Source organism: Homo sapiens, chromosome 6 (genome assembly GCF_000001405.40).
Source record: "Homo sapiens chromosome 6, GRCh38.p14 Primary Assembly".
Classification (NCBI taxonomy): Eukaryota; Metazoa; Chordata; class Mammalia; order Primates; family Hominidae; genus Homo; species Homo sapiens.
Window position 1 is genome coordinate 155,702,549 of NC_000006.12, and position 14,617 is coordinate 155,717,165.

Consider the following 14,617-nt stretch of genomic DNA (forward strand, 5'->3'; position numbering starts at 1 on the left):
TTTGTTTTTAATTCTGTTTATGTGGTGAATTACACTTACTGACTTGCATATGTTGAACCAACCTTGCCTCCCAGGAATGAAGCCTACTTGATCCTGGTGAATTAACTTTTTGTTGTGCTGCTGCATTTGGCTTGCTAATGTTTTGTTGAGGATTTTTGCAGGTATATTCAGCAGGGATATTGGCTGGCAGTTTTCCGTTTTCGTTGATTCTTTGCCAGGTTTTGGTATCAGGGTGATGCTGGTTTCATACACTGAGTTAGGGTAGAGGTCCTCCTCCTCAACTTTTTTGGAATAGTTTTAATAGAATTTGTATCGGCTCTTCTTTGTACTTCTGGAGTTCAGCTATAAGTCCATCTGGTCTGGGGCTTATATTGGTTGGTAGGTTTTTGTTAATGATTCAATTTTGGAATTTGATATTTTTCTGTTCAGTGTTTCAATTTCTTCCTAATTCAATCTTGAAAGGTTGTGTGTTTACATGAATTTATCCATTTCCTCTAGACTTTCTAGTTCATGTGCATAGAGGAGTTCATAAAAATGTCTGAGAATCTTCTTTCTGTGGGATTCGTTGTAAGGTCACCTTTGTAATTTCTAATTGTGCTTATTTGGATATTCTGTCCTTTTTCCTTTGTTAATCTATCTAGCAGTCTATCAATCTTGTTTTTCCTTTCAAAGAGCCAATTTTTGGTTTTGTTGATTCTTTGTATGGATTTCTGGTTCTCAATTTCATTCATTTTTGTTCCAATTTTAGTTATTTATTTTTTTCTGCTAGCTTTGGGGTTAGTTTGTTCTTGTTTTTCTATTTTCTCTTGCTGTGTAACCAAGGAGGTAAAAGATCTCTACAAGGAAAACTACACAATACTGCTGAAAGAAATCATAGGTGACATAAATAAATTGAAAAACATTCCATACTCATGGATTAGAAGAATCAATATAATTAAAGTGGCCATACTGCCCAAAAGAATCTATAGTTCAACGCTAATCCTATCACACTTCTAATGTAATTTTTCACAGAATTAGAAAAAGCTATTCTAAATTCATATGGAACCAAAAAAGAGCCCAAATAGCAAAAAGAACAAAGCCACAGGCATCACATTACCTGACTTAAAACTGTACTATAAAGCTACACTAACCAAAACAGCATGTCACTGATACAAAACCAGACACATAGTTCTGGTTCTTTCATGGTTCTGTTCATGTCTTTGCCCATTTTTAATGGAGTTATTTATAAACACAATTAGAAATTACAAAGGTGACCTTACAACCAATCCCACAGAAAGAAGATCCTCAGAAATTTTTATGAACACCTCTATGCACACGAACTAGAAAATCTAGAGGAAATGGATAAATTCACATAAACACACAACCTTCCAAGATTGAATTAGGAAGAAATTGAAACACTGAACAGACAAATATCAAATTCCAAAATTAAATGTTCCAATGGAACAGAATAGAGAACTCAGAAATAAAGCCACACACCTACAACCACCTGATCTTCAACAAAGTTGACAAAAATAAGCAATGGGGAAAGAACTCCCAACTCAATAAATGAGTGCTGGGATATCTGGTTAGCCATATGCAGAAGAATGAAAGTGGACCCTTACCTTAAGATAGATTAAAGATGTAAAAATAAGACCTCAAAGTATAAGAATCACAGAAAAAAACCTAGGAAATACCATTTTGGACTTTGGCCTTGGGAAAGAATTTATGACTAAGTCCTCAATGGCAATTGCAACAAAAACAAAAATTGACAAGCGAGACCTATTTAAATGAAACTCGTCCATTAAAATAGGCTCAAGAAAAAGAAACTAGCAACAGAGTATTCAGACAATCTATAGAATGGGAGAAGATATTCGAAAACTAGCCATACAAGAAAGGTGTAATATCCAGAGAATCTATAAAAAGCCTAAACAATTGAACAAGCAAAGAAATAAATGAATGAATGAATAAACAAATAAATAAATAACTCCATTAAAAATGGGCAAAGACATGAACAATCACTTATTAAAAGAAGACATATAAGCAGCCAATAAACACATGAAAAAAATGCTCCACATCGTTATCAGAGAAATGCAAATCAAAATCACAATGAAATACCATCTCACATCAATCAGAATGGCTATTAAGAAAAGTAAAAAAAATAACAGATGCTGGCAAAGCTGTGGAGAAAAGAAACACTTATACACTGCTGGTGGGAATGTAAATTAGTTCAGCCGCTATGGAAAGCAGTCGGGAGATTTCTCAAAGAACTTAGAACTACCAACAATTCCATTGCTAGGTATATACCCAAAGGAAAACACATTGTTCTACCAAGAAGACACATGCGTTTGTATGTTCACTGCAGTGCTATTCACGATAGCAAAGACATGGAATCAACCCAGGTGCCCATCAATGGTCGATTGGATGAAGAAAATGTGGTACATCTACACCATGGAATATTACACCATCATAAAAAAGAATAGAATCATATCCTCTGCAGCAACATGGATGCAGCTGGAGACTGTTATCCTAAGCAATTTAATTCAGGAACAGGAAACCTAATACTGCCTATTCTCACTTATAACTGGGAACTAAGCATTGGGTACACATGGACATAAAGATGGGAACAACAGACAGTGGGGACTACTAGAGTGGGGAGAGAAGAAGCAGGGCAAGGGCTGAAAAACTACCTTTTGGGTACTATGCTCACTACCTGCGTGACAGGATCATTTGTGCCCCAAACCTCAGTGTAATGCAAATGCCCATGTAACAAACCTGCACATGTACTGTCTGAATCTACAATAAAAGTTGAAATAACTTTTAAAAAATCCCAAACTCAGAAAACACTCTCATGACATCTTTATTTCTCCAATGCTGCTCCCCCAACTTATTCTTTTTAGCACTCATACCAGATTGATGGTTCATACGGAGCCTGTAGTTCACTAACCGCCACTGCCCACACCCATTCCATGTGAGCTGCTATCAAATCTCACCTTCTCCATCCTTCTCATATGCAAATTAATTTTAAAACTAAATTCTCACTGTACATTTATGTCCGTTCTATTTTATTTGATTTGATTCCAATCTTGGACATATTCCTGTTGGAAACTGTATAAATTTGATACATAAAATGTATTAGCGCTTTTTCCTGGCCTTGAGTCATATACGATCTTTATTAATGCGGACTTTGATTTAAATGTAAACTTACATTCAAATGTGGCTCTGACACAGTATGACTTGGTATAACTTTCTTATCTTTACTGAGATTAATTTTCTCATTAATAGAAAAGCAATAATATCTATCTTGTAGGGCTATTGTTCGTTATTTTCAAAAAACATTGGAGCATAGAGAAAATTAATTAAGATAACATGTGAAAATGCCTTCACAATAGCCACTCTGTAGTGTAATGGAAGTGTGGTTTTAAACATCCAATGAGCTTTCCTTTTGTGTTTTACCAAGTGCCAGACCTTTGCCCTGGCTCACCTCAGCATCCGTCTGCCTAAAGTGATATTGGGATTTGTTACAGCTGAAAGGCAGAGAGAAAAGGCAATCAAAATAAGATTATGCAGCAAAAGAGTCATTTTCCCAGGCCAACTATTGCACTGAGAAAATGATTTGTTCTTCCACATTTCTTTTTTCTCCTTCTACAGTCTATGGGAATTCTCAATAAACAGCATTCTCCTATAGTGCAGGAGAGAGAGAGCTTGTCCACCATTAGGGCTTACCTGGAATTAGAAAGGAAATCATGGCACAGATAAAGTTCAAACAAACAAACAAACAAAAAGCCTGTCCTCTTTCCAGTCCTAGGGTCTATGGGAAGAAGTAAAAACATGAAACAATCAGATAGTGAGTTACATGTTTCCTGATTTCTCTGCTTTGTACTTTGGCCCGGAAGGGAGAAGGTAGTTTAAATAACAGAAGGGAGACCCCGATGGCATAAGGTCTTTTCCTTCTGCTCATCTGGGATGTTGAGAGGAGACTGACTTACAAACTCTCCTACACCCATGTGGAACAAAGGAAGAGGAAGCCTAGATGGTCCTGTGCCAGCAGGGATACCACCAGAAAGAGGCCAGCTCAGACATCATTTCAGCCTCATGTTTCAACTCCTAATGTTAGTCCAGAGGAAACAGAAGTCACTCCCCAGAACAACTGACACTATCCTGCTGCCATGGAAGTGTCTTAGCCATACATTCTCTCTACACTCAGAGATAACTTAGGTTCAAAATTGGAAGAGCATTTCTTTTAAATGGGACTACTTATATTAACATAATAGAGTAAATTCAAACAGAAGTGTATTCATAGTTAAATTTTTATCTACTTATCAGTAGATAGAGGCTCATAAAGAGAATAGCTACACATAAGATAAACTTTTTATCTTTGCACAACCAGGATGTAGTATAAGATGGGTTTTTTAATCCCTCTTCAGTAGAAATTTAATAAATGTTAATTTCTCATCTTTCAATTTTTCTCTGTCAGCAAATTAAAAAAATTGTTTCATAGCCCCAGTCTAAATATAGGATGATGGTACCTTTTCATTGAGGATAAATGAAGGCTTGCCCTTGATAATTTCCACTTTTGCCTTTGTATTTTCAATTTATTTCTTTGTTATTTTTTTGTTTTAAGCTAGAAACAACTCAAATCGGCTTAAGCAAACAAAAAGGCTATTTAAAAAATCTGTGTAACTGAACATTCTAGGGTCTTTTTTCAGGTATAGTTGGCTCTGGGTTTATGGTATGTGAGGACTTGGTATTTATTCATTTAATCTTTCAGCTTTACTTTACACATATGGGCCTCAAGCCCAGACTGGCTGCCTCCAGGTGGTGACCCTTAGCAGTTCCAGGTTAACATTCTACCAGTGTCAAGGACAGTGCCAAAAGAATGCTTTGATGCCAGAAATTTGAAAAAAAAATATATATTTTTATATATATATTTTATATATTATATATAATAAATTATATATATTTTATATATTATATATAGTAAATTATATATATTATATATATTATATATAATAAATTATATATATTATATATAATAAATTATATATATTATATATAATAAATTATATATATTATATATATTATATATAATATATTATATATATTATATATTATATATAATAAATTATATATATTATATATTATATATAATAAATTATATATTTTATATATTATATATATTATATAATATATATTTTATATATTATATATATTATATAATATATATTTTATATATATTATATAATATATATTTTATATATTATATATATTATATAATATATATTTTATATATTATATATATTATATAATATATATTTTATATAATATATATATTATATAATATATATTTTATATATTATATATATTTTATATTTTATATATTATATATTTTATATTTTATATATATATTATATATATAATATATATAATACGTATTATATAATATATATATAATACGTATTATATATATAATACGTATTATATATATAATATATATATAATACGTATTATATATATTATATATATAATATATATATTTATATATATTATATATATAATATATATAAATATATATATTATATATATAATATATATATAATATATATATAAATATATATATTATATATATATCCTGGAACTGTCCAATTGGCATGTCTGGGATCTCTTGCCTACCCTTGAGACAATTGCTCTAGCCAGGGGGATGGAATTGCCTACATGGTCACGCCCGAGTCGGGTACCCACCTGTAGAGCCAGGGAGTCAAGTCAGCTTCATCTGAACCACATGGATTAAAGGTGGGAGGAAACAGTTTCCCAAGGAAATCAGGTTGCTGTCATCAGAAGAGGGGACTGGGTGCTGGGCAGGAAAACCCCGCACACTGTGCACACCATATGCTTTCACCAGCAGTTTGTCCATAGCTCACTATCTGTGATTCCCAAATGTTCCCCTTGGAAGGTTCTGCTACGTAGGTTCACCTTAGAATGTTCGTCACAGAAGTTTCTCCAGAAAGATTTCATGATTGCAGCTGCTATTTCTTTCAGTAGCATGTAGTGTGATTTGAGAGGCCTGAACAGCCTTGAGTTTCCCTAGTCTTGACTGGGGAATGGTCTTCGCCTCTCTGGAAAAGGCCACCTCCCCGATTGAATATTCCACCATGGGAAGTGGTGAAATGGCGCCCTGAGACCCCGGGGGAGCATCCTTCCCCATCCCGGCCCGTGGAACCAGCAGGTGGCAGATGTGGCAGCAGAGCCTCCTCACCTTGTACTCAAGGCCCTCTTACTTGTGTAGAGCTCAGCTTCCTGGTCTATGGACTTACTTTGCCTTTTCTGTATGAAGGCCATCCTCGATGAACTGTAAAGCCAATCAGTGTTGAATGAGTGAGGAAAAAGCGGAATGAAAACAGTAAATAAGGAGTTGCCTTCTCTGTATTAATATTAGAATCTCTGCCTCAGCCGTAGAGAAAATCATTGACGTGCTTGCTAGAAGCAGCTCTGAAAGACGTTTTTGTAAAACGCTTTTTATCCCGTCAAAGGCTCAGCTCATTTGGGGCTAAGGCTTCCTGCATCCACCATGGGCTTGAACGTGAGGCTTGGAAAAAGCGGAGACAACGTTGGAAAGAATGAGGCCTGAGAACGAGTCAGTGCCGCCTCATCCGCGTCACCACATCCCTGTAGGATGCAGTGTCTTCATTCGTAAAACAAGGGTGTTGGACTACTGTATCTTGAGGGTCCCTTGGCGCTGAATTTCCATCTTTGAGAGACAATGGCACTCTTACCTTTGAGCTTTTGGGAGAAATCCCTGTGAATGTGCCCTGGGGTCTTGCATGCCTCTCAGCATTCTCCTTGGGAGGTCACAGGCGCCGGTCTCATCAGGTGAGAAGGACAAAAGCAGCCCTGGCCGCCGTCAGCTGAGAGCTGGCCCGTGCTACTCAGCCAGGGCGTTGAACACGCCAGGGGATGCCACAATCAGATGCGCGTGCTCAGTGACCCAAGGAGCTGAGGCCAAAGGGAGATCTTCCGCAGTCAAAGCTGAGTGCATATCAGAACACTGCACACAGCACAGAAATGACCAGCTTTCCCCCTCCCAGCTAACAGGGCTTGTCTGCTCCAAATTTAGCCCTGCTCCACTCTTGCTACCTACTAGATAAAAATTATTAAAATATCCAACTATTAAACTACCTCTACTTCCTGACAGTGTCCATTCCAGAGCAAAATTCTGCTTTCTTAAGCCCTGAAGAGAATTAACACAAGCCCAAATCTCTAAGGACCCCTCACCCCCTGCCACCCCATTCCCCATGGTATTAGCATATAAGCCCACCTTTGACTCCAGGTGTGTCCCTGGTGGTCTTTGGTTGGTGAGTTTGACAGAAGTGTCCAGCTCTCTCACAGCATTTTCATCTTCGTTTTTGAGTAGAATATCACAGCCTCCTTTTTCTGGAATCACACTTTCAGAATGCTGGAGTAGGTGTCAGACCAGATTCTGTTTTCTCTTCCTGGATTATTATACTACAGAAGGACTGGTCACTTTGTGGCTATTCCCTCTATTTCTCCCACGTCATTAAAACTGTATTTTCCTTCTGGAGCTGAATCAGTCAAAAGGCATGTTTCCTCTCCTGAATTTTGCTATCTTCCAACTCTAGCTTCAATACAGGAGCATTGGGGTATTTAATATCATAAATATCAGTGCCAGGATTTTACCCTCAGACTCTCTAAGTGGCGTTAGTGGAGCTCAGCCACCTAATAATTTTTTTAAAAACTTGCCAAGTGACTCTAATACATAGGCACTGTTGCAGATTATTGTTCTAAGAAATGAAACTGCCAGCATGTTCAACTTCTGCTTGAAGTTGATGATTTCAGGTATTACCTTGCATCTCCCTCATCCCCCATCCCCAAGCCAAAATCCTCTCTGTCCAGTCTCCAATCCCTAAAGCAGCTTGTCTCTCTAACCCCAACCTCCGCGTCCCTCACTCTTGGCTATCCTGGTGTTGTGAATCGTGCACCTTGCATCTCATGCTCCATTTTGCATTCCTGAGTTGGGCTTTGACTTCCATTCAGAGTTTCCCTTTCAGCCAAATGTGTATACCCCACCCCACTGAGGGCACTGGAGCCCTGACTTCTTATGATTTTGTCACTTCTTGAATTTTCAGCCAGTGCTACAATCCCTGCTCTCAAGGATAATCTCTAACATTATCTAATTATCTAGATTATCTAAGGATAATCTCTAACATTATTGCATTCTCTCTCCTTTGTCTTTTAAATGCATGGTTGTGTGAATTTCTATTCAAAAGTTTTGTCTGAACTGTGACTGGAGAACGCTGAAATTCTTGGAGCCCACACTTTGGCTGCTCAGCTCAGCCCCAGAAGCTGGCTTGACTTCCTGCAGCACCAGTCCCTCCAGTGGATTCACATGGGTGGTGCTGAGCACAGGAAAGTTGACTTTATACTCCAGTTTTCTGGGGACAGCCCTGTTTACACCTGCTTATGTGGTGTAATTACTACACATCTCCAGAGTGTCTTGGTTTGGATAATAAATTATATGATCACGGAAGATGCAGGGCCAAGTGTGATCTGTTGTGTTTTGCAGTCTTGGTTCAACAAGTCCTGAAAAATGACAGAATGAGTTTTCTAACAGTTGTCCTAACAGCCCAGTTCCCCCATCACCAGACCAGGATACTTGTCTCTTGCTTGTTTTGTGAAAAGAGTTTTGCCTCTATTTCTCATGTGACACACAAATACAGAAGATACGACTTTTCTTTCTTTCTTCTTTTGGGAATAGGTAATCTATGAAAGGATGGGAGGGATTTGAGGCCTTCCATATTTATATGTTTATTTTTCTGAGTTTCTCATACTTTTTTCTTTTTTTCATGTAGATCCATCTTTCATTCTATTTTTATTCATATTTATACTTCTTTTTAATCTTATTGTTTCAATTTATTTTGCATAAAACAAATTCTATTTTTTTCCAGTTCTATTGCTTTTCCTATAATTCCAGGAATATTTTTGGTTACCTTAAAGCAATATTTATTCATTTAGCAGAGAGTTCCTCTGGGATATAGTACCATAACCCAATTTTAGTCTTTATCTAAAATTAATGGAGTCAATTTTGTGAAGCCATCTTTCAAGAATGATGCACCCCATTTTATTCTCTATTTTCTGTTGTATTTATAGCATTTGTAGTTTGCAACACACAATTTAGTGCTTGTTCACTGCTGAGTTTCTTTCTCTGCTTTGTGCTTGTTAGTATTCTTTCTTCCTCTAGATTTTTGAGCATGTTTTGGCAGGAGATAGGTTTTCTGCTTTTGTGTGTGTCCACATTAGTTATGAATGCAGTGCTGGACACATAACCAAGGATCAAAGAATATGTGCACCTCCATGGTTAGTTTCTCTAAATTCAATAACTGCAGCATACACATTGTTTTCTCTTACGTGAAAAGTCTCCAGATCCTTATTCTTTCATTGCTATTCCTTCTGCATTCACAGTTCAACATCATCTTCATTAAATCTCATTTCTGATATCTCCTGTTGGTGGGTACTTATTTCAGCCTTTTAAAAATTTTATCAGATTTTTCTGATAAAAATCTCACACCAACTCCCTTCTAAGCTTCGAGTTTTTAACTTAGTCTGTTTAACTAACTCTCTGCCTAGTTAACTAACTCTAGTCAATATGGAACATTTGGCGGTTGATTATTAGCCCATTTCTTGTGCAAATGTTTATATCTTTTGACATTTTTTTTACTTCATATAAATAGCACATTATGTATGTTCTTATTTCTACTGTCTGATGAGTTCTCTGTGCAGCCCCGTTATGGTGATTGGCTTGTATCAGCCAAAATGTTTTGTTTCTAATGCAATTTTCTTGGATTCCCCATGAATTGATGGGGTGACTCACAGCTGGATAATGATGGTTCATTGGCAGATTCATTTTATTTTATGTTGTCTCCTCCACCTTTGCTTCAGATGGCCTGCAACATATTCATAGGATCTGCGGAGCCCTGAATATTTGGCTATATTACTTCCTCCCACATACATTGTCACCCAATGTGACAGAATGACAGGGTAGCCCTGGGATAGTAAAAGCAGAGAGGCAATATTAGCATTAAGAGGTAATATTATTATTTACACAGTGTTATCATTTGAAGGTGCATAAGGTTGACACAGTAATCGCAAAAGGTTTAAAAGCACAATGACAGAACCTGTAATGTTTATTAACAGGCAAAGATAAATGATAATTTAGTGGTTGAAATGCTGGGGCTGAACACAATCAATTTAGATTAGATGCACATTACCAAATTGAATACCTTTTATTTCTGCATAATGTTGTATCATGAATCAGAATTTTATTTATAACACTTGACTACAGAGGCAATTGAAATTCTGAGTTCACCCTAAATTACTTATTAACAGAAAAAGTACAACAGGTTTTCATATTTCAAAACACACTAGGTTACTTAAAGGTAACTATTTAATCATAGTTTAAAGAAATGTGGACAGCCAATGAATTTAATTTCACCTGGGGATAATGTTTCACAATGTCAGAGGGAGAACTTCCCTATATCACGCTGGAACCATGACAATTCACTTTTTATGTATGGATAAAGGGTGATACAATGAACAGTACTTGCCTAGCAAAAAGGAAATCATAGAATACACATGATGGTAAAAGACGGTTGGTATTAAGTTGGACTAACTTGCAGAGAAAAGGTTTCGAAATATTCAATGACAATGATATCTGGCATAATCCAGAAAGCAATACAACTTTCCTGGGGCCTCCCAGGAAGGGAAGCTGCCAGTGGGGACTTGGGATTTGTGGGATATTCATGAATGTATTTAGCGAGGGAGCGTTACATCAGATGTGAACTGTCAGTTCAGAAAGACCAACCCGTGGAGCAGATGTGTCTGATCTACAGGGGAACTGACTGCCTTGAATTAAGTATATTTCCTGCTAAATCAAATATCTTAAAATTTTTCTGTTGAAAGTAATTTTTTTTTTTTTGAGATGAAGTTTTACTCCGTCACCCAGGCTGGATTGCAGTGGCATGATCTTGGCTCACTGCAACCTCTGCTTTCCAGGTTCAAGCAATTCTCCTGCCTCAGCCTCTGGAGTAGCTGGGATTACAGGCACCCGCCACCACACCTGACTAATATTTTGTATTTTTAATAGAGACAGGGTTTTACCATGTTGGCCAGGCTGGTCTCAAACTCCTGATCTCAAGTGATTAGCCCTTCGTGGCCTCCCAAAGTGCTGGGATTACAGGTGTGAGCCACCGCACCCAGCCAGTAATATTCAAGTCATTCTGCCATATGTTACTCTACTACTTCCACTTAATACATCCTACTGGTATCCAAGAGGATCTATTAATACTGAAATACTATTTAAAGCAAATGTACATGGTACATCCAACAATTACTCATCACCACTATCCCCTCTTCATTACGATTATTGAAAGCATCTGCATGTGATGAATTTCAAAGCACAGCTCAGAGGGATTGAAGTGATTTCTAGAAACATATTTTTAAAGACACAGCTTAGAGAGACTAGAAAATGTTAAGCTTGTCTGTTTAAGAAACTCCACACAAATACAAGAATTTATAACATTCGTCCGGGTATGGTGGCTCCCACCTGTAATCCCAGCACTTTGGGAGTCCGAGGCAGGCAGATCACTTGAGGTCAGGAGTTCAAGATCAGCCTGGCCAACATGGTGAAACCCCTTCTCTACTAAAAATACAAAAAATTAGTTGGGCATTGAGGCTGAGGCAGGAGAATTGTTTGAACCCGGGAGGCAGAGGTTACAGTGAACCGAGATTGCGCCACTGCACCACTCCAGCCTGGGAAACAGAGCAAAACTCCATCTCAAAAAAAAAAAAAAAAAAAAAGAAAAGAAAAAAAAGAAGTTATAACAATAACATTATAACATTCTAGGGCATATTACATTAAGAAGAAGTGCGTGAATCATAAAATAGGTTGGGGCATTGTAAAGCACTTAAATTCATATTAAAATTGTTTTTTCTCATTACTGGGCTACTATTTTTCTTTTAAAACATATTTAGTTAACTTTTATAATATAAAATTTCAGTTAGGTAGGAAGTAGATACAATAATAAATATTTCCATCTTAGCCTCTTCTATACTTTCTATCAAATTTACTTTATTGAAGATTTTCTTCTTTGCTTTAACCACTTCGTTCATGATCCCAGAATTTACTATCTTAATGTCTTAGAGATTCTTTATTGTCTAAGAAGTTGCTTTCATTTACTCATTTTTTACAAGCAAGACCCCTAATGTCCAGCTTTCCTGTGTTGTAGCAATTTCTTAACGTTTTGCTATGGAGTGACTAGCATTTGGATTAGCCTATTGGTCATTTTCTTACTTCCACTTATCTTGACTCTTCATTAATCCCCTATTTTTCCTTCTGTTGCTCCCTACTCCCACACTCAAATAATTACTGTTTTATTTTTACCCCAAACTTTCTCATGTTAAATGAATCCCGTTTGACCCTGTTACCCCCAGATTCAATTCTATTTCAGAAACATTCAGGGTCTCTTTGTTTCTTCATATCTCTCAAACTTCATACGTTATGATTTATTTGAGGTATTAAATTCCTCTCACCTGTTTTATTACTATATCCATGCATCTCCCACATCAATTTCTTTTTAATTCTGTTTTACACATGTAGTGTCTTTACTTTATAAGATACTATACCTAAACACCATTCGGAAAGACAGAGCATGAACAGTTTTGCCAAATATGAAGAAAAGAAGTGAACAGGGTGATGGGAGTGAGAGCAGGGAATTTTAGAGTTTACAGTTAAAAAAAATCTGCAACCACTTATTTGGGGCCCGAATGATTATTCTCATATTATGTGATTTAAAAAGGACTCAGAAAGGTAAGTGAGTTTAATTAATGTCATACAACTCGTAAGTGGCAACATATGGATATAAAATGAAAAATTCCTAATTTGACAGTCATTGTCTTCCCTTTAGATTGCGCCACCTTCTTCTGTGGACAAATAGATTCCAAATCTCCTGGCTTCTGGTTCTTTGTGGCACACTTTAGCTCACTGACACATGTTGCCAAAGGTGGTATAACAGGCTGAAGGTGAACTGCCTTTGAGGTAAGGCTGGATACCATTTCAAGGGCAGGCGTGGAACAGTAGTTATCATGAGTCAAACAGTTATGCTTTTAACACTAAATTCCAGGATTATTCTAATAGAACCCTTGTGTTCCTCTAGGGGATGAAATTGGAGCATAATCCTGATCGAAGCCCCTCCATATATTCTAGTTTTAAATGAGTGTGACAATAGAAGTCCTTGGGAGTTTATAACCTAGGACGACTGGTAGGGAATTTAAGCAAAGTGAATACAAATATTGCTTAAAAAATGAAAGGAGACTCAAATTCAATGATAAGAAAACATAAAAATTAAAATGGCACTGGTTTCCCGCTTAGGGTGTTTTAAAAATTAAAATGTTACTCGTAGGAGTAAGAGATGTTTGGTTAGATTGTCCTTTATAGGGAGTGGGCCCAATACCTTCAGTTTGTGAGCTATGATGGATGTAAGACCCCAGTGGCTTAAAGAGTGAATGGGGAATGAAGGTGTGAGTGGAGCAGTCCTAGCCTTTTATTTTGTGTAACCTGGCTACAAAGAGAAATTAAGAAAAAGAGCAGGTTTTAAGGAGACACAAAAATAAGAGAGTGATTTTTTTTCCTTTAAAATTTTAATGTTAGATTATCAACATGTTTCTAGACTATGGTACAGAAGTTAGGAGAGGGTAGTTTAGCTTTTGGTAATAGATGTTAGGTAATTTAGATTAATATTTTATGAGAATTAGAAAACTTAGACCAGAAATAATCTTCTTAAAGATCTAACAATGCAAGGAAGAATTCTGAGGCCACGATCTCATGGAAGACAGAAACCTACAAAAGTGATCATAGGTGTTTCACTAGGGATATCTACTGATTTCAGGAGATATAATTAAGAGGCTGAGAAGCTGAGAAGTTTTTGCTAGACTATTACAACTAAGCTTATATGAAATAGAGTCCAAAAACCACAGAAGTCCAATGTGTCTGGCAATTAATGAGACTTTGGGTAGGGAATGAGAAGAACAGCATCTTAGAAGTAAGAGATTTTTGGTTAGATTCATCTCTATTGGTACTATATCCCTTATTGGCTGATGTTATCCTAAATTGCTAATGCTGTTAGCCACCTGCCAGAAATAAACTTATATTTTCCCTGGAGGAAGAGCAGCACAATTCTGGTCATAAAATTATTTATAAAATAAAATTTCAAGCATTCAGTCAAAAATAAATGATCAAAGAGACATGAAAACATGATCAAAATTCAAAAGAAACAGGTAAGGGCAAGAGATTACATGAAAATCACATAACAGAGTAATCAAAGATAGACTGTAAAATATTCTTTAAATTTTCGAGGTCATAACAAATAAGAAAGAGAATTAGAATTGAGAATTATGACAGAGAATAAGAAATTAAAAATAGAAATTTTAGAACTGAAAAAATACAACAATCACAGATAAGATGTCAATGAATGAATTCAATAGCATCTTAGACACAACTGAAGAGATAATTAATAAATCAGAAGATAGATATATTGATTTTTTGAGGCAGGTGGATCACTTGAGGTCAGGA